General features: G+C 44.2%; 3 long non-coding RNA genes across 4 annotated transcripts; 2 read left to right on the top strand and 1 right to left on the bottom strand.

Moving 5' to 3' along the window:
* Positions 1-1,120: 1,120 nt before the first annotated feature.
* LOC105377722 (uncharacterized) lies at positions 1,121-17,148 on the bottom strand. The gene is made up of 3 exons (XR_941214.2): positions 16,940-17,148; positions 16,507-16,578; positions 1,121-1,188 (listed from the first exon to the last, which is right to left on the bottom strand). It is a non-coding gene; the product is annotated as an uncharacterized LOC105377722 (long non-coding RNA).
* On the top strand, positions 8,306-14,650 carry LOC107986392 (uncharacterized). Of its 2 annotated transcripts, XR_001742537.2 has the most exons (3): positions 8,306-8,566; positions 13,995-14,136; positions 14,427-14,650. It is a non-coding gene; the product is annotated as an uncharacterized LOC107986392 (long non-coding RNA). The 2 variants fall into 2 exon arrangements; XR_007059047.1 differs by lacking the exon at positions 13,995-14,136.
* A 92-nt stretch (positions 17,149-17,240) lies between the features above and the next one.
* LOC124901134 (uncharacterized) lies at positions 17,241-18,876 on the top strand. Its single transcript, XR_007059048.1, has 2 exons — positions 17,241-17,424; positions 17,895-18,876. It is a non-coding gene; the product is annotated as an uncharacterized LOC124901134 (long non-coding RNA).
* Positions 18,877-20,599: the final 1,723 nt, after the last annotated feature.

A 20,599-nucleotide genomic window follows, 5' to 3' on the forward strand; every position in this document is an offset into this window, starting at 1 on the left:
AAGGTCTTGCAATGTTACCCAGACTGGTCTCAACTCCTGAGTTCAAGTGATCTCCCCATCTTGGCCTCCCAAAGTGCTAGGATTACAGATTAAAGCCACCACACCTGGCCTCTCTAGACACTCTTTATGAGATTGAATAATTCCCTTCTACTCATAGTTTGCTGATAGTTGGATTTTTTTTTTATCTGGAGTAAATGTTGGATTTTTTTTCTTTTTTTTGAGACAGAGTCTTGCTCTGTCACCCAGGCTGGAGTGCTGTGGTGCGATCTTGGCTCACTGCAACCTCTGCCTCCTAGGTTCAAGCAATTCTCCTGTTTCAGCCTCCCTACTAGCTAGGATTACAGGTGCCCGCCACCATGCCCAGCTAATTTTTGTATTTTAGTAGAGAGAGGGTTTCCCCATGTTGGCTAGGCTGGTCTTGAACTCCTGACCTCAAGTGATCCACCCATCTCAGCCTCCCAAAGTGCTGGGATTACAGGTATGAGCCACCATGCCCAGCCAAATGTTTGATTTTTTTTTCAAATGTTTTTTCTGTATCTATTGGGTGGATCATATGGTTTTTCTTTTTAGTCTTTACTATGATGAATGACAATGGTTGATTTTTGAATATTAAACCTACCTTGAATTCCTAAGGATTTAAAACACCATTTCATCATGAGGTATTATTCATTTCTATATGTCATTAGATTCAATACATTAAAATCTTATTTAAAATGTTTGCATCTGTTTTCATGAGAAGTATTGGTCTTTAATTTTCTCATCTTGTAATTTCTTAGTCTGGTTTTGATGTTAGGTAACTGGCCTCATAGGATGAATTGGGAAGTGTTTCCTTCTGTTCAATTTTTTTAGAAGTGCAGGCATACCTCAGAGATATTGCAAGTTCAGTTCCAGGCCACTGCAATAAGGCAAATCACACATTTTTTTTTGTTTTCCAGTGCATATAAAAGCATGTTCTGCACATTTATCCCAGAACTTAAGGTTTAATAATAAAAGAAAAAAAGTTATGTTTACACTCTGCTGTAATCTATTAAGTGTGCAATAGCTTTATGTCTTTAAAACAATGTACATACCTTAATTTTTTTAAAACTTTATTGCTAAGAATTGCTGACACAGAGACATGAAGTGAGCATATGCTGTTGGAGACAAGGTGCTGATATGTTTGACGCAGGATTGCCACAAACCTTCAATCTGTAAAACAAAGCACAACAAAACAAGGTATGCCTGTGTTTCTGTCTAACAGACATTATTTCTCCCATAAATGTTACATATTCTTCACCATCGAAGCTCTCTGGTCCTGGAGCTTTGTTTTTGTGACAATGTTTAACTGCAAATTCATTTTCTTCAATAGTTTTAGGGATATTGTCTGTATTGATATAACTTCTCTTGTTTCTGATATTGGTAATTTTTATATTCTTTTCATTTTTTCCTGATCAGTTGAGCTAGAAGTTTTTAAAATTTTATTGATCTTTTGAAGGAACCAGCTTTTGGTTTCATTTGATTTTTCTGTTGTTTTTCTGTTTTAAAATTCATTCATTTCTGGTGGAATTTTAATCATTTCCTTTCCTCTGCTTCCTTTGGGTTTAATTTGCTCTTTTGTTTTCTAGTTTCTTAAGGTGGAAGCTGAGATCATTAGTTTGATAACTCCTTTCTTTTATAATATGGGCACTTAGTACTATAAATTTCCTTATAAGTACTGATTTAGTGGTGACCTACAAATTTTGATGTTTTTTCACTTTCACTTAGTTTGAAATACTTTTAACTCTCCTTTTGATTTTTTTCTTTGACCCTTCAATTACTTAGAAGTGTGTTATTTAGTTTCAAATACTTGTGGATTTTTCCAGAGATCTTTCTGTTATTAATTTATAATTTGATTTCAGTTTGGTCAGAGAGCATACTTTGTAAGACTAGAATCCTTTTAAGTTTACTGAAACTTATTTTATGGCCCAAAATATGGTCTATCTTGGTAAATGTTGCTTGTGCTCTTGAAAAGATTGTATATTCTGCTGTTGTTGGGTGGAGTGCTATATAAATGCCAATTAGGTCAAGTTGGTTCATAGTGTTATTCAAATCTTTTATATCCTTTTTGATTTTTTTGTCTACTTATTTTATCAACTCTTGACAGGATGTTGAAATCTTTGACTGTAATGATGATTTATCTGTTTCTCCTTGTAGTTCAATTCCGTTAATTTTGCTTCATGTGTTTTGAGGTTCTGTTATTAGATGCATAAACATTTAGAATTATAATTTGATGAATTAACCCCTTTATCATAATAAAAGATCTTTTTTATCTTTAGCCATATTCTTTGCTCTGAAATCTACTGTGATATTTATATAACTGCTCCAGCTTTCTTTTGGTTAGGGATAACATGGTATCTTTTCTCATCCTTCTACTTTCATTTTATACACACACACACACACACACACACACACACACACACACACATAGATAATGGTCAGAAACTGTTAAAATTTATTGAAAACTATAAAGCCAAATGTCCAAGAAGTTCAACAAATCTCTGGCTCAACAAACGTGAAGAAAACTATACCAAGATATATCCTAATCAAATTGTTCAAAACTGGTAACAAAGAGAATATCTCAAAAGCAGTCAGAGAAAAAAAGACATGTTACATGCAGAGGTACAAATATAAGAATGACATCAGATTTCTTTTTAAAGCAATGCAAAAGCAATGCAAGCAAAAAGACAATGGTGCAACATTATATATAATTATTTTATATATATAATTCATTTCCTGTAAACAGGATATAATTCTTTTTCTTTCTTTTTTGTTGTTTTTTTAATCCAATCTGAAAATCTCTGCTCTTTAATTGGGGATATTTAGCACATTTACATTTAATGTGATTATGGGTATTATACCATTGTCCAAAAGCTCACTGAGGCTCTTTTCACTTTTAAAATTTTTTCTCCCCTTGTCTCATTTTGAATAGTTTTAATTGCTTCTTCAAACACTAGTGTGCCGTTTTTCACTATCTCCTAGTTAAAAAGGACCCTATCCTCTACATATTGGCATCTGTTGTCTGATCTCTGATTGCTGCCTCTGATCACAGAGGTGCAGAGAAAGGCAGCCATTGTTGTACCTCCCCCATTGTTGCAAGTCCTTCTCCTCTGAATGATTTCCAGGGAATTTAAAGGGGGTAGCACCTTTCCCCCACCCCTTTTTTCTCTCTTTTCCACCTTTTGGGAACCAAACATTAAAGACTAGTATTTTTTTTTTTTTCATCTCAGACATTGTAGATTTAATCTCTCTAGATTTGACTTGTGACCTTTTTAGATCTTTAATGCCTTTACTTAACTGTTGAACAACTGGAATATACTTACAATAACTAGTTTAATATCCTTGTCTGATAGTTCTGACATTTGTGTTAGTTCTGAGCCAGTTTTGACTCTTGGTTGGCAGGTTGTTGTTGTTGTTGGTAGCACTGAATATATTGGCCCACTGCCTTCTGGCCTCCAAAGTTGCTGATGAGAAATGTGTTGATAATCTCATTGAGGATCACTTGTATGTGATGAGTCACTTCTCTCTTGCTGCTTTCAAGATTCTTTCTTTGTTTTTCAAAAGTTTATATTATAATGTAAAGTTTTGATTATATGGTTAGGTTATAACCCTAACCCTAATCTTAGTGTAAGTTCCTTGAGCTCATCTTCCTTGAAGTTTGTTGAAGAACTCCTTGGATGTTTATATTCATGTCTTTCATCAGATTTGGGAAGTTTTTGGCCGTGATTTATTCAAACATTCTCTCTTCTCTTTCTGGGACTTCCACAATGCATATGTTGATCTGCTTGATGGTGTCCCACAGGTCTCTTAAGCTCTATTCACTTTTCTTCAATCTTTTTTCTTTTTGTTCCTCAGACTTGATAATTTCCATTGTTTTACCTTCAAGTTCACTCATTATTTTGTCTGCCCAGATCTGCCTCTGATTCGGACTTCTGTAGTGAATTTTTCTTTTCAGTTATTGTATTTTTAGCTTCATATTTTTTGGGTTTTTTTTAGGTTTCTATCTATTAATATTTTCATTATGTTCATAAATTGTTTCCTTGACTTTCTCCATATCTTCCTTTAGTTCTTTGACCATCTTTAAAATAGTTGTTTTAAAGTCTTTGTCTAGCAGATATGCCATAAGGTTTTTTTTCAGGGACAGTTTCTGTTTATTTTTGTCCTTTGAATGGGCTATGCTTTCCTGTTTCTTTATATGCTTTGTGGTTTTTTTGTTGTTGTTGTTGAAAACTGGACATTTGAATCTAATAATATGGTGACTGGAAGTTAGATTCTCTCCCTTCCTCAGGATTTGTTGTTTTCTTATTGTTTTGTTTTTGGTTGTTGTAGGCTGTCTCCATGCCAAGGATCAGCCTGGGGTATAAACTTAAGGTCTTCTCAAGTCTTTTCTGAGCCTTCATCTTTCCTGGGACATGAGTGGTCATTTTCTGATTTCCCTGTATCTGTGATTGCTTTTGAATCTTCTAGTCTTTAATGTTTGGCCCCCAAAAGGCGAAAAAGAGAAAAAAACAGAGACAAATGGAAAAAAAAAAAAAGAGTGCTAGCCCTTTAAATCCCCTGGAAGTCATTTCAGCCAAGAAGCAGGGGCTTGCAACAGTTGGGGGAGGTGCAACAACAATGGCTGCCTTTTTCTTTGTCTGCACCTTTGTGATCAGAAGCAGAAATCAGGGATCAGACAACAGATGCCTGATATGTAGAGGATAGGGTCCTTTTGGTCTACCCTGGCTCACTCAAGCTATGTGCAGGTTGCTCCAGAAACATGTGCACGGCTGCTTGCCATGGGCTTGGGGGTGGGGGATGAATAGCTACTACTGTGCTGAGAGTGAAATTTCCCCTGGAATTTGCAAGCCTTCAATAAACTCCAGAGTTTCAAAATAGTTACATCAGATGGAGTCTGCTAGTGTTAGGTGGGTAGACAGATTTCTGGTGCTTTCTACTTCACCATCTTTCCAGAGGACCTCATTCTATTAATTTTCTGCTTCATATATTTTAGTTCCAGAATTTGCATTTTGTCATTTTTTATAGTTTACAATTCTCTGCAGAAATATCAATCTCTTCAATGATTATATCTTTCTTTACCTCTAAAATTTTAAACATATTAAAATGGTTGTTCCAAAGTTCTTATTTGCCAGTTCCAATGACAGAATTTCAATTCTAATTATATTTCCTTTGGGAGTCTGTTTCTGTTGATTATGCTTTCTCTTGATTATAATCATTATTCCCCCCACCACCACGAGATTCCTCAGATGGCTTGTACTTTTTAAATTGTATTCCAAACACTATATATAAATAGCAGTGAAGACTAAAGGATACTTTTCTTTGTTTATTTCCCACACTGAAAACCCTTTCTTATGACTGATGGTTAAAGTAAATGTCTGATCATTCACATTTCTCCTTGATCAAGTTGAGATGGGGCTGGGCCACAGCTTTAATTAGATTGAGTTCATCTGTGTGATTGTCTCAATGTCCAAACCCCAAAGCTGTTGTTTTTTGTTTTGTTTTGTTTTGTTTTTAATCGTGTCAGAATTTGAGCTGGAAAATGGCTACAGTTCCTTCCTTCCTTCCTCCCTCCCTCCCTCCCTCCCTCCCTCTCTCTCTCTCTCTCTCTTTCTTACTTTTTGAGATGGAGTTTCACTCTTGTTGCCCAGGCTGGAGTGCAATGGCACAATCTTGGCTCACTGCAACCTCTGCCTCCTGGGTTCAAGCAATTCTTCTGCCTCAGCCTCCCAAGTAGCTGGGATTACAGGTGCACACCAATATGCCTGGCTACTTTTTTGTATTTTTAGTAGAGACGGGGTTTTGCCATGTTGGTCAGGCTGGTCTCGAACTCCTGCCCTCTGGTGATCCACCCGCCTCGGCCTTCCAAAGTGCTGGGATTACATGCATGAGCCACCACACCCAGCCTACAGTTTCAGATAGTTTTGGTTCACTTTTAAATTCAAGTCTGTCAGGATCTTGAATCCTATCATCACGAGAATGCATTAAACTACAATCCGTTTACTAACTCTTTCTTCACTATTGCTTACTCAGCAGTGAGAAAGGGGAGCATGTGGGGCAGGAAAATATCTGAGATGAGTAATCTGTTCTTGTATTTGGAGCTCTTCCAAACTCCTGCCAGCTCACACTGTTGTCTAGGGCCCAGCTGATTTCCCTGGTCCTCTAAAAGTCTCTGTATTTATGGCAGGTTTGCTTACGTTTAGCCCAAGTGCCTTCTCCCAAGCATGGAAGATGCTATGAGTTTGTTTCTGTCTAGAAATCAGTTCATCAAGGCAGCAGAGAAATTTGGTTGGAATGGGTGCCCTGAAATTCAGTTTTGTGTCACCAATTGTGGGTATCCATTAGGAACCACTGGAGGCAAACTGAAATAAATCCTCCTCTCTCAAGGAGGCGGTGTTACTCCTGGACCTGGCAGGATGCTCATGTGAGTATGTCCAGCAAACCAACCACTAACAATCCCAAAGATAACAATTTCTTATACTCACACGGTGCTTTGTGTTTAACAAGGCATGTCCATGCCCATGGGTCTCCTTTGATTCTCACAATAACTCAGTTTTAGTATGAGGGAAGACTGGGAAAGTCCAGTGGGCCAGTTTGGGAGTGGCCTTGAATGTCATCCTTGAGACTTTGAACTTTAGTCCATATTCTGCCATTCGCCTCCTTTCATCCAGATCACTGCAGCGGTCTCATTGCAAGCCTCCCTGCCTCCAGGCCTGACCCCTCCATCCATCCGCCACACCGAATGAACAATCTAAAAGGCAAACTTCCCCTTGCCAAACCCTCCTGCTCTGTACTCTTCAGTGGCTCCCCACTGCTTTCAGAACAAATCTACAAAGCTCTTGAGATCTGGCCTCTTTCCACTTCTCCAGTCTCATTTTTCCCCTCCTGCTTCTCCCTACTTTCTTCTTCAGCTGCACTAAACATTCTTCAATTCCTTCACTGAATCTTGCTCCATCAAGCATATATGCATTGCTATATACTTTTCCACATTGTTCACACACACACACACACGCACACACACACACACACACACTCACACTCACTCATGTCTGCTCATCCATAAGGTCAAAGCCGCAGAGTGACCTCTTTTCCATGCCTCCTCTGGACCTGCAGGCCCCGAGCTTGCTTCCAGCTCATCACCTGGCTCACTGGGCTGGGATTGCTCCAGCATTTGCTTCCCTACTAGAATGAAAGCTGTGGGAGGGCAGAGATTGTCCATCTTGCACACCCTTGAGCCTCTAGCACCAAGCACAGTGTCTACACATAACAAGCACTCCATCAATGCTCATTGCATTGAATAGGACCCAGGAAGCTACAGACTGCTTGTTCTGCTATATATCCTGCCAGTTGTTTAAGAGGTCAGCTCATGAGTACTTACTATCTCTCATAGCCTAGGTCTGGGCCGAAATGCAGGGTCAGATGAGAGGCTGCTGAAATAGAATATGAACAGTGCTCACATTTATCAAGTGCTTCACTTGCGCTGTCCCATGTAACCTTCACACAACCCTGCACATTTGGTGCTATTATTAGCATTCCCATTTTGGAGATGAGAAAACAAAGGCATGGAGGGGTGGGCAATTTGTCCAAAGTCACAAAGTTCAAAAGTGGTGACTCTGGGGTTCAGTCCAGGCACTGTGATGCCAGAGATTCTCACCTCTAACTACTATGCAACAGGAACACTGACCTCCAGAAGCTTCCGGGCTGGTTTTTGAGACAAGATAGAGATGCCACCATAGGATCCCAAATGCAGGGGATACCCAGAGAAGGGAAGAAGTGTGACCCACTGCAGTCTCAGAAACCCTGAGATGGTGACAAGCACTGGGAGGGCAATGTAGAGGCTTTTAGGGAACCTGGATACCCCAGACCCCCAGAAGAGGGGTCCCCCAATTTCGCTGTGACCTCAGGGCAGGAAGCAATGCTGAAGCCAAGCTGCCACTATGGGCCAGAGACTCCCGAGAGCCCGGAATGGAAAACAGTGCGACTAAATGTCAGGGTTTCGGGCCCCAGCCAGGCCTGGCTGCCCTATACCGAGCTCTATCCTCCTGCCCTGGAAGGAAGAGCAGGGAGAGATTCCACAGGAGCCCTCAGGAGAGCTTCCGAAAAGGGCCCCCCTGCCAGGGAGCAGGGAGAAGCGGGCGTGCTGGCGGCCAGGTCGGGGCGGGGCAGCCTGGGTCTGTGTGGGGTGGCCGGCAGCCGGGCCACCCGGACACCTCTGACAGGCAATTTCCAATTTCCTATGGAATTAAAGTGTAAAAGCAGAGAGTCCGTCACTGTCTGCTGCCTCCCTGGGAGGGGAGAGAGTTACTGCTGCAGGCTTGAAAAAGCTGAACTGTCCTTTCCCAAACAAAACAGCAACCAAGGAAGTTGGTGGTGGGAGGATGGCTTCAGGGCTCCAAGCTGGAAGTCAGGATGCAGGCTCTTCTGTCTCTACCTGCTTGGATGACCTTGGGCAAGTCCCTTCTTGTCTCTGGGCCTCAGTTTCTTCATCTACGTGAGGAGGCATTGGACAAGAGGATGCCGGAGGCCCCTTCCAGCTCTGAGAGGCCAGCATTTGGTAATAAGGTTGGGTGTGGGAAAAGATGAGGTCTTGGGGGAGAGGGGGAAGGGGCTGGAATCATCGTGGGTTGGAACAGTTAAAGGAACCTCTGTTCAGCCCCAGCCCCAAGGCTCCCAAACCCAGCAGCAGAACTGGGATCCACCCAACCAAAATCAGCGAGGGAAAGCCAAAAGCATGAGTAAGGAGAGGTTGGGCCATAAACATGTCATCTGCACAAACATCCAGCCCCCTCTGGGGTCCCATTGGCCCTGCTGGAGGGAGGAGGCTGCTATTGGGGCCCCCTCAGCCACAACCCCAAGCCTACTCGCTTGGCCTGGGACTCCAGGGTGGAGGCCTGATTGCTTAGAAGGGAAACCTGGCTGTGGACATGCCCCAAGGAGCTGTCAGGAAGGGGCTGGTGGTGGCTCTCAGCGGAAGGGAGGCTTTCCATGCTGATATCAAACAGGATTTTCTGGGATGGTCTCCATTTCAGGTCTGCTGGGGCTCCTGCTTCTCCAGTCCTGACCATTCCCCAAAGCTCTGGAAAGAAGAGCAGCCACTGGACCTTGATCTGTGGGTCTTCACAGGCATTGTAAACACAGTATTCCCCAACACGACTCTTTGTTCTTCCAAACTGTCTTCCTCTGTGGGGTTCCTGGCTTAGGGATGGTACTACCACCTAGTCCCCCAAGCGGGTGTTTCAGAAGTGATCCTTGTTCCTCTTTCTCCCTCTCCATCCACATCTAAGATGTGGCATGTGCCATATCCTGACAACCTGACTCTTTGTGCACTTCCATTGGACTGTTTCTCTCTCTCAATCTCCCTCTCCTTTTCTGGACCTGAAGTATATACAATCCAACTAATTATAATCCAGTTTTCAAATGGCTTGCTTTTTAAATTTCCTTATTTTTTAATAACAAAACAAAAGCTAGAACCATGACAATAACCTGCGTTCACCATGCATGATTCTCCACCCCATCTCCTTGCCCTCCGCCTTCCGAGGGAGCCATCATCCTATGTCTTGTGTCTATTGCTCTGTTGCTTCCTGTTGATAAAATCTTACTTTATGTATCTGTACTCCTAAAGTCTAATTTTATAAATGGGTATTCTGTATGTAATCTTTTGGAATTTACTTTTTGCAAGTGTAGTAGATCATTTCCAAATATGGCTGCAATTATTCCTCTTCCCGCCTCCACATCCCTTTTGCAACATGACTTCGAAGTTCCTTCCATCAAGAGGTGGAGTCTATTTCCCCACCTCTCAAATCTGGGCTGGGCTGATGTATGTTTTGACTAATATAATACGGTGGAAGTGGAATTGTGCCAGTTCTGAGCTTAAGCCTTTGGAGGATCTGTGCTCTTCCATATTTTCCTGGAAACTTTTGAACAAGTCTGGGCTGGCTTGCTGGATGAGGACTGACATGTGGCCCAATTGCCACCATTGTCTCAGCCAACAACCAGTCAACTCTCAGAAGCAGTGCCCCCTAGCTGACTCTCTGCTGACCCTGGACTCATGAGGAAGCCCAGCCAAAACCAGAACTGTCCAGCTGAGCCCAGCCTAGAATACCTACCCACTGAATTCTGAATCAAATAAGTAATTGTTTAAGCTATTAAGTTTGGAGTGGTTTGTTACACAGCAATCACCAGCTGTTACACCAAGATTCAGTCTTTTGTTGCATGCTGCTATGGCTCATTCATTTTCATGGCTGTGTAATATTCCACAGTGTACATATGGTTTATTGGTCCACTTTGCTATTGATGGGCATTTGTGTTTTTGATATTGTGAAAATCGCTCCGTGAACTTTTTTTATACCTGTCCTCTATCGAATGTGTGCAAGAGATTCCTGGTCCTCTCTAACCTCACAGCTACTAGAAACCTTGAGTCAATTCCCCTGACTATCCCAGAAGAAATGATCAAAAATGAAAATCACATCACGACATTCCCCTGCTCAAAATCCTTTAGTGGCTCTCCTCCAGCACGAGGGTAGAGTCCAGCATCTTTACTCAATATTTAAGGCTCTCTGTGGCCGGGTCAGTGCTGGCACCTCTAGCCTTAACGTCTCTTTGACAACAAGCTCTACCACTAAAAATCTGTGAGACGTTGGACAAATTCCTTCCCTTCTTTGTGCCTCAGTTTTCTCTTCGAAAAATGAGACTAGAGACACACTAAGGTGGGCGTATTACTGAGTTAACCCTTACAAAGCTTTAAGACAGTGCTTGGAGCAAAGCATCCCACAAATATTTGCTCTTATTGTTGTTCTTACTGTTGTGGTAAATGGAGTGAAATGGTAAGGCTGATGTTTCCCAGAGTACATCACCCCTCAGAACCTTTGCCCATGTCTGTCCCTCTGCTCAGAAAGCCTGCTCTCTCCCTGCTTACCTGGCAGCCTTGCCTGCTCAGCCCTGTCCTAGTGTCACTCCGTGTCTTTCCTGCTGATTCCCCACTGCCCAGAAGAACTGACCTCACCTTTTCCTACCCCATTGGCCCCTGCATGCATGGCTATCACCGCTCATGTTTGTTTACTGGGCCTCCTTGAGGGCAGGGATGATGGCCCATTCATTTCTGTATCCCAGGGTCTCAAGGAGCCTGGCACAGATAAATTCATGATAAATGCATTGTCAGTGAATAAGTGAATTACCGACCTTCTTTTCCCTGAGCAGTCATTCATTCATCATTCATTCAACCACCATTTACAGAGTCAGCTCCATGCCAGGCACTGCTTTGGCTAAGTGGAGACCTCTGCCTGCAGGATCTCCTGGTCTGTGGGGAGAGACAGATCCCCGTGCGGATGGGTACGTCTCAGTGCAGTCCAGGCTGCCACATGGGAGCCCCCTACCCAGAACGAGCAGAGAGAGCCCTCAAAGAGCCTACCATCACCAAGGGAAAGGAGATTTAGACCTGAGACAAAGACAAAGCTGCCCAAGCATTTGGGGTATTTGAGATTCTGATTATGCACAGGACGGGAGTTTAGAGAGCCACAGAGCTGCCCAATGGGCCGGAAGCTGCTGGCTGCAGGATCTGGGAATGCAGGTGCCATCTTGCTCACCTTGAAGCCCAGCTCAGCCAGGGTCTGGCACAGAGGGGGTGGTCAGCATAAATGTTTGTTGGATACATAATAAATGAGGAGAGGAAATCTAACTAAATAAGAACTGCATTTCAGCCCCACTCTGCCACATACCGGTCAGTGACTACGGCCAGGACACATCCCCTGTCTGGCCTCAGATATTTTCCAACATCCTCTCCAACTCTCACATTCTATGATGATGCAGAGAGGCAGCCTGGACCCTCAGGGTGCTCCTGGACTGACTGTGCGCGTGTGTATGTGAGTGTGCGTGCACACGCAGCACATGGAGGATCTGGATGTAGGAACAAGCGCAAAATATGATAATTATCATTTTGGGAACACTTGTTCTGTGCCAGGCACAGGATGCAAAGGTCTAAGTGCTTCACGTGTATTGCTTCATTTTCCTCTTACTCAAACTGCACAACACGGGTGATGTTGTTACCACCAACCCAAACTGTACAAAACGGGGGATGTTATTATCCCCATTTTACAGCTAGGGAAACGGAGGCTCCTGAGTTGGAATAAATACTCCCACAGATGGTCAGTGGCAGATGTGGGATTCAAAGCAAGATCTGTTGGACTCCAAGCTCTTAGCTGCTACACTCCAGGGCCTCCCACGGGAGTGTGCCCTCCGACTCCAGGGTGCATGTCTTTCTGCCACTTGAGGGCAACTTTTGGTGACAGAACCTGGCTGAGAATTCAGAGATGACCGAGGCCAAGGCTGGGGGGAGCTGGGGGTGGGTGAGTGAAGGGCGTTCAGCTTCACTGCCTCTCCACGCCTCTGTTAACTGCAGCCAAATCCCCCATGTGAAAGACCTGGCTTGGGCTTTCCTGGGCTTGCATGCGAGTTTTTGCTTTGCTCAACCAAAGGGCTTCCTGCGGTGCTCTGGACTGTTCTTTCTGGCCAGGCTAAGGGAGGGCAGAGGTCAGCGGAGGCCCTGCCTTTGGCTCACCCTCCCAGAGGGTGGATTCCCAGCAAGTCTGAGAGATCCTGGAATGGTCTCTCGGCATACAGGCGGGAGTACTGGGATATTTGTTCCCCCGGACACAGCTCCCTCCCTCATGTGCCACAGAGCAGCTTAGAGGGAGCAGCTTAGCACTGGAAACCCAGCCATGGGAAAGGCTGCTACAGGCTGGCCTTTGAAAGGGAGTTCTCTTTCTTCAAGTGCTTAGGGGAGAAAATAAGTGAGAAAAAGAGAGATAGAGGAAGGAAGGAAGGAAGGAAGGAAGGAAGGAAGGAAGGAAGGAAGGAAGAAGAAGAAAAGGAAACGAAAAGGAAAGGAAAGGAAGAAAGGAGAGAAAAATTGACCATACTAGGGGTCTGGTCTGTTGAGTCAAATTTCCTGATGGGCTCATCCCTAATGATGCCTGAAATGGAGGCCACTGTGGGGCTGTTCTTGCAAATGTACTTAGTGGATGGATCGTGGCCTCTTGTGCAGCTGCAAGCTCCCTATTCCAAGGCCCCAACTCAACAGGTCCGATGCTGATTCCAAATAGAGTCACCCTGGCTGGGAGGGCCTTTCTGGGTCCCCAGGGAAAGATTTGGATGGTGGGGACCTAAGATGCTGCAGCTGAAGCTCCTGCCCTTCCAGGAGGGCAGGGCAGTGTCAGGGAGCCTCAGGGCCTTCCTTGCAGGTTCAGGGGCCTCAGGGGGAACATCGCATGGCTCTTCAGAGACTGTCCCTGGAAGTGACCTGAACTCCAGGGACTCAGGCCAGAAGCAGCCTCTTTTGCACACGCCCCTGCCCCTCTAGTGAGGTGTGGGAGTGGGTGGGGAAAAGCCTTGCTCATCCAGGCCTTTGGAAACATCCCGACACACTTTCCTCCAGGCAGGCCGAAGTTATTTTCCAAGTATTTCACTTTCCATTTCTTCTCCAGATCTGGTAACAGGGTGTTCCTGCCCTCTTCCCCTTCCTGACCCTTCTGCCTGGGCCCCGCCCCTGCTGCGTTTCATCAAGTCGACATGCTCTAAGAAAGCCGGCCAAATCTGCACTCAGCCCCACGGATGGCGCAGATGTGTGTGACCAGCCCCCCTCGGCCTGCAGAAGCTTACCATCGAGCCTAGGGGACAGCTATCCAGAGGGAAACAGGCACCGGGGGCTCAGTGGGTCATGGGCTTTGAGGTCTGGCTTCTCTACTGTGTTACCCTGGGAAAGTGTCTTGAGCTCTCTGAGTCTCTACGTGCTCATCTGTGAAATGGGGGTTACCCTATCTCCCTTGGAATGTTGTGAGGTTCAGAGTGGACAATGAATGTGCTTGCAGTCCAGTGCACATCTGGGTTCATACTGGGGACCCAATGCAGCTTTCTGACTTAACTTTCGGAGGTGGAAGTCAACTGTTGGAGATCGCTCTCTTAGGGACAGCCTTTTTGTGTCTTTCTAGGTATGCAGAAGCAGTCCAGGCAGTACAATCAGCCAAAACTGATTATGAATTCTGGTTATACAGCTTCCCAGCTGGGGAACCTTGAGCAATTCATCCACCTCTCTGGGCCCCGGTTATGAATAAAATATAAAAGAAAATGCAGGTAAAATGCCCTCTTCCTCAAGGGAATGCCCTCTTTCTCAAGGGGTTGAGGTCAGGATTAAGTGGCATAATGCAAGCCCTTGGCACAGTGCTTAGCTCGAGGGATGGTGACAAATAGTCATGACTCTTCTTTGATGGCTCAGTTTCCAGCTGCTCTCCCTGAGATGCCATGGGAGGTTCTTGGCTGGGAAGCCAACTGTTTCTTTGTCTAAGAGGGAGAAGATGCTATACATCTTGCTCTCACTTAACCCTGCTCCCTCCCACTCACCACCACCCTTTTTCTTTTTCCAGGCCACATGAGTTTTGCAGAGCAGACGTAGAAAGCAGAGAATGAAAAAAAGAAAAAGAGGAGAGATCTGAAGCCAGAATGGGCGTCATGCAAGAGGCTCTAGAGTTGCAGACAGTTGCAGCCCAGATACGACGTGCAAAGAGAGACATCCCAGATCTCCCACACAGAACTCCGGCGCGCTTTGAAGTGTTGACAACACATAAAATTAAAAGCATCACAATGCGAATTATCACGTTGTTTTTTCCACTTTGATAGCCTCTACAAAGCATTTTATACCGATGAATCAATACAAATGTCTCTTTATAAAGACATTGGAAACAAAAAGATACATTTTTTTTTTTCCTTAAGAGAAACCGACACAACTAACAAAAAGATTTCAGCCCTGGCTTGCAGGATAGCTCTAGGTAACATAGTGAGTTTGTCTCTCCTTTTCACAGTGGCCTTGGAGGTCACTGCTGTCTACTTGCTTGGGTCAATCATTCAGCCTCCGGATGAATGTTCTGCCTGCTGATTAGTCAGCACCATGAGATGAGACAAACAAGCCACAATTGCATTGCTATTGCCTCCTGACTGCACACACATGTGTGTGCACATGTATAAGAATATATACAGTGTGTGTAAATATATAGAGGCGTGTGTGTGTGTGTGTGTGTATTTTGTGGTTTGGTAAAATAAAGCTTGCAAATTAGGATTAATTTATAACTCGTTATAATTGGATTATTGGCTGGGACTCCCTTTATGTTACAGCAGATGGACTTTTGCGTGAAATATTTTCCCTGAGTTGCTATAGAGATGTGCCAAGATCTCTCTGCTGAAGTGATTCCCCGCAGGCCTGTTTGTTGTTGTGCCCGGTGCCGAATCACTTGCAGGCTGAATCACTTACAGCCCTCACAGAGGCTGATGAAAGAGCCCCGGGACCCTGGGAGTCTCCAGCCTCTCAGCTACTGCCACCAGAGATGGGCTGCAAAAGTCATTAGAGCTAGACTGGGGGGTGGGTGGCTGAGCTGGTGGGTGGAGGGGGATGTCCAGGTGAGCCAGGCAGCCACAGGGGAGAGGGCTGCTGTGGGCAAGAAAGATAACTCAGGCTAATCAAAGACCTACTGTATGGCCAGGCACAGTGGCTCACACCTGTAATCCCAGCCTTTTGGGAGGCCGAGATGGGTGAATGGCTTGAGGCCAGGAGTTTGAGACCAGCCTGGCCAACATGGTGAAACCCCGTTTCTACTCAAAATACAAAAATCAGCTGGGCGTGGTGGCACACACCTGTAATCCCAGCTACTCGGGAGGCTGAGACAGGAGAATGGCTTGAACCTGGGAGGTGGAGGCTGCAGCGAGCTGAGATTGCACCACTGCACTCCAGCCTGGGCGACAGAGCCAGATTCCATCTCAAAAAAAAAAAAAAAAAAAAAAAAAAAAAGCCTACTGTAGCTAGATGTAGTTCTAGGAACATGTAGACATTCCATTTATCTGTCTAGTTCCTGTAGCAAGCCTATGAGGGGAGTCCTGTTTTTCCCACTTTTCAGGTGGGGAAAAGGAGGCACAGAAGAGTGAAGCTGTTTTCTCAAGCTACCACTGCAGTGATCTTAGCAATGGTGTCTCCCCAAAATGGGGGTGAGGTGGGATAGATGGGGTACATTTAAACATAGGGTTCTGGGAGAACTGAGAAGCCACAGGCTGGGCGGGGTAGCCAAATTTAGCCCTCTGCCAGTTCCTCTGGCTGTCGGAGGATCCTCAGACAAAACCGCCAAACTCCATCACGCAACTCACAGTCCATTTGGGCAGACACACTCAGGCCTGTCTGATGAGCAACATAAACATGGCCAAGCGCCTCATGAGACGCTGTGGGTCCTGACTCTTGAACCAGAGGCTGAGTATGGGGGCCCCAACTCCCCGATTTCCATCTCAGGCAAAGATGTGAATCAGGCAATGTTTCCAGAGAGCAGAGTTTACAAAAAGTGTGGCCTGGAGTGATGACAAAGGCATGGGCTTTGAAGTCAGACAGACCCAAGTTAGAATCTTGAATCTACCCTTGTCCAGAGCTGTGACTTTTCTCATCTGTAAAATGGGATTCATTGTACTTACCTGGCAGAGTTAGGCTCAGCTCTCCCAGTAGAATGGAAGCTCTCTAGAACAGTGCCTGGCGCACAGTAGACCCTGTGAAATACACATTGAATAAATGAGTATGTTTTTAGTATATCTGGCATGTCATAGGTCTTACTAGATGGTAGAAATTATTTCAATCTGGCACTTTTAGACTTTGGAGCCCATTTTCTTCTTTCATATTGTTAGCTTCCCTTCCTGGGCAGTGTCAAGATCCTGAGTCCTTGCGTCTCTTCCCCAGCCCCTACCAACCCATGTAGACAGGATTCTTGGAGACTACAAACTGCCCAACGTGTTAACCAGTATCTCAGTCCATGGAGATCTCTTCCTAGGATAGCACGTTAGTCAGGACTCTTTAGATGGCAAGGACAGACACTAACTCAATCTGTCTTAATAAATGAACAAAGGAACTTACTAATAGGAGTAAATGGCTTCAGGTATGGCTGAATCCAGCTGCCCAGCTAATCTCTTTACATTTCTTAAATTTATTCTCTTTCAGTTTGAATCCACCTTCAGGCAGGCTCTGCCCTTGTGATGGTAGGATGGCGGCCCAGCTTCAGGACTACCTCTCACCAGCTCAGCACCTTAACAAAAAGAGAACTCCTGCCCAACAGCTTAAATACAAGCCCTAGGACTGCATTTTATTGAATGTATTATATAACGTATTATATAATACTTGGGTCACATGCCAAGCCATATCATGTATCCATCCTGGAAACCTGGAGGTGGAGTCAACCCCACCTAAATCAACATGGTCTGAGAACGGGGAAGGAGCAGTTCTCCAAGGGCAAGGCGGAGGTTCTTGACAGAAGAGGAGAGAGACGCTGAGTAGATGAGAACAGCCAACATCTACCACAGAGCGGAAAACAACAAACTTGGTTCTCATGACAAGCCCAAAAGGTAGTTATGATTCTTCTCATTTTGCAGAAAACAGAAGCACAGAGAGTCTGGGGACCCTGCCCAAGACCACATAGTGTGTCAGTGGCAGATTCAGGCTGGGAATCCCTAAGCCTGTGTTCTTGCCAGGACTTTACAGAAGGAAGTGAGCCTCGCAGCAGGTCATGAACTAGCAGCTGGAAGATACGTGAAAGATACAGATGGGCTCAGAATCCCAGCTCCACAAGGGGAAGCTTCTGGGCCCATGCAGGACTGTTTGTGGTTCTTGCCCTCATCTGTGCCGAGTAGCACAAGTCTCAACATAACTAGGTGCTTGCTTTTCTTCATCTTTCCAAAATCCCAGAGCATGTTGTTGGTCATGTTTGCAAATCTTATAAGCAACTTATAATTTTATTTTGATTGTCTCAAGTCAGAAATAATTTGACCTTGGCATTATTGAGAATCCTATTTTCAAACTTTTTTTTTTTTTTCAGACTCCTTGGTGGTTCTATCTATTTGGAGAAGCCTTTATATCTTCACACACCTGGGATCTTCCAAGAAGGTTTTGGATGAGCACGCCTCAATTCAGTCCTAGAGACCTATGCTGCATTTGTTTCCTTCCCTCTTGGTCCACCTCCAGCCCTCATTCAATTCTAAGTCTCATCATGCCTTTGAAGACTGCCCTGCTAGTCTCAAACCTGTGCTTTTTCCTTTGTTCAATTGTGACCCTGTTTATGATGCTACAGAAAGAACAGCTTTGCATACTCCAGACTTGGTTCCAGGTGTCTGCACTCATAATTTATGTTGCCCTTCAATTTACCTATAGAATCTTGCCTTTTAAGAACTGGTTCCACATAAAGTTTCTAAGGGGCTTTTAAAACTGTAAAGCAATATAAATGATAGATGTTATAAAATCTAAGATCATTTGTCCATGTTATTCTCTACCTGTTGGTTCCTTCCTCATTGAAAATTGGTGTATAGATGGTAGATAGATAGATGATAGATAGATAGGTAGATAGATAGATAGATAGATAGATAGATAGATAGATAGATAGATAGATAGATTTTTATTTTTGGTCTATCTCCTTTACTAAACAGTAAGCTCCATGAAAATATGGATCATCACTGTCTTATTCACCATTATATTCTCAGCATATGGTATTGTCCTGGTATAGAATAGATTCTCAATAAATGCTTGCTAAATGAATGCATTCATGAGTGAGTGAATGAATGAATATGCGAGTGGATGAGTGTGTGGAAAACATGGTCTGGCTTTCCCAACCAGATGAGAAAGCAAAGGCACCGGAGTTAGCTTCAGCTGTTGCTTCCTAGCGATGTGACCTTAGTTTGACCTTTCTGTGTTTCAGTTTTCTCATCCTTGAAATGGGGAAAATACTTTACTGAGGACACCAAAAGATCACCTATGTGAATTCAATGTTTGATATACTAAGCACTCAATAAATATCAGCACTCTTCTCTCTGCCCTTCTTGGAGATTCCATAATGCCTACAATGGTGGTCAAATACTGAGTGTTTAGTGAGTACTTTTTGATGGATAGTTGGATAAGTTTATCAGAGTGATGGTGGCCACATGTTGGGTGTGGGATTTCCATTCTGGCTTGAGAGAAAACTGTGAGATGTGTAACTGAACCAAGAATTCAGGTAAGCACTGGGCATCATAAGAAGTTGGAATGGGGAGGTCGGTCGGGTCTGTGTGCGTGTGCTTGTGTGTGCATGTGTGCATGTGGATATGGGGAGAGGTGTGCAAGGAGAGGACACAGTTATCCAAAGTCCACTGATTCTAGTTCAGAATTTAAAAAGTTAAATTCTAAAAAGTTTAAGTTGAGAATTAAACAGGTACCTGGCAGCCCCTGGAAATTCTTAAGAAGGAAAAATATAGTGGAAATTCTTTTAGCATCTGCATGAAGGACAGACTTGAGCAAGGAGAGGCTGCAAAGCCTGTTCTAGTAATCCAGGAAAAAGAGAGAAAGGACTGGTAGGTATTCAATAAACCATTTTGACATGAAAGGTAAGGTGAGGCGAGTCTTGAAGACTCCTCGGATCCATAAATCAAGAAATCTTTTTTGGGTATGGAGCAAATGAGAAGAAGGGTCCAAATTAGTTTTTATTTTTCCTTCTAAAATTATGTGTGAATTTTTTTATTACAAAATAATACAGCTCCACTATAAGATATAATTAGAAAATGAAAGAAAAAATAATCACCCATAATCCTGTAACCAGAACACCACTGTGACTTCATTTTATGACCCCAAATCTATGACCTTAGGAGAATGAATGAGTCTGCTGTGTTCATGATGGGAACATAGAGAAAGGCTCAGAAGAATGTTAAAGAGAGGCCATTGCTGAGCTCACTTGCTCATTTGCTTATTTGATTCAACCCATAAGGGAGACCTCAATAGCAAAAACCACATCTTGACATTGTGTTGGAATCTGCCAGCCTCTTTATGCAACTCTGGATGTCAACAATGTCAGGTTACCTCCAACATGATCACCAGGGTCCTCTCCATTCCCTACCATATAGTAAGCATTTTAGTCTAGTTTAGTTTTTAATCTTTTTTTGCATCTGCATGTAATCTTCTTTTGGGAGCATTCCTCGCTGTGTGTAGTCCTGGCAATCTGAATTCTTTCTGATATGTGTGTAGGTCAATGGTTGCTTGCCCTGTCCATCTGCTAGATGACCCCCTCCTTTCCATATTCTCCTGTTAGTGTCTGGGAAGGTTGGTTCATCAGCCTGTTGGTCTGTAGGTCAGCTGGCTAACCAGATTTGGGGGAGGCAGACAGGTTAGCCTTACGATCCACTGACTCACTGACAAACCGATCCATCGGTCAATCCGTTGGTCTGCTGGCTGGCCATTAGTCCAACTGTCCATCTATTGGACAGTCAGTCCCTTCATTGGTGTATCAACCATGCCATTGGCTCAACCATCCCTTGGTTATTTCACCAACCTGTCAGCCCATGGGTCAGTCTCTCCATGAGCTTGCTGGCCGGTTAGCTCCTCAGTCAGTCAGTAAGCCTGTCAGTTGCCAGTCGGGCTACACCCCTGATGAACCCCTCCAGCTACTGATCTCAGTCCTCACCTGAGCGGGCAGGGCATGGAGGGAGAAGCTCATTCCCTCTCCGATGAGGTCGTTTGAAGTGCTCTGTCAATTCTTTGGAAACTTTAAATCAAAAGTTATTT

The sequence above is a fragment of the Homo sapiens genome, chromosome 5, assembly GCF_000001405.40.
Source record: "Homo sapiens chromosome 5, GRCh38.p14 Primary Assembly".
In the NCBI taxonomy this organism is placed as follows: domain Eukaryota; kingdom Metazoa; phylum Chordata; class Mammalia; order Primates; family Hominidae; genus Homo; species Homo sapiens.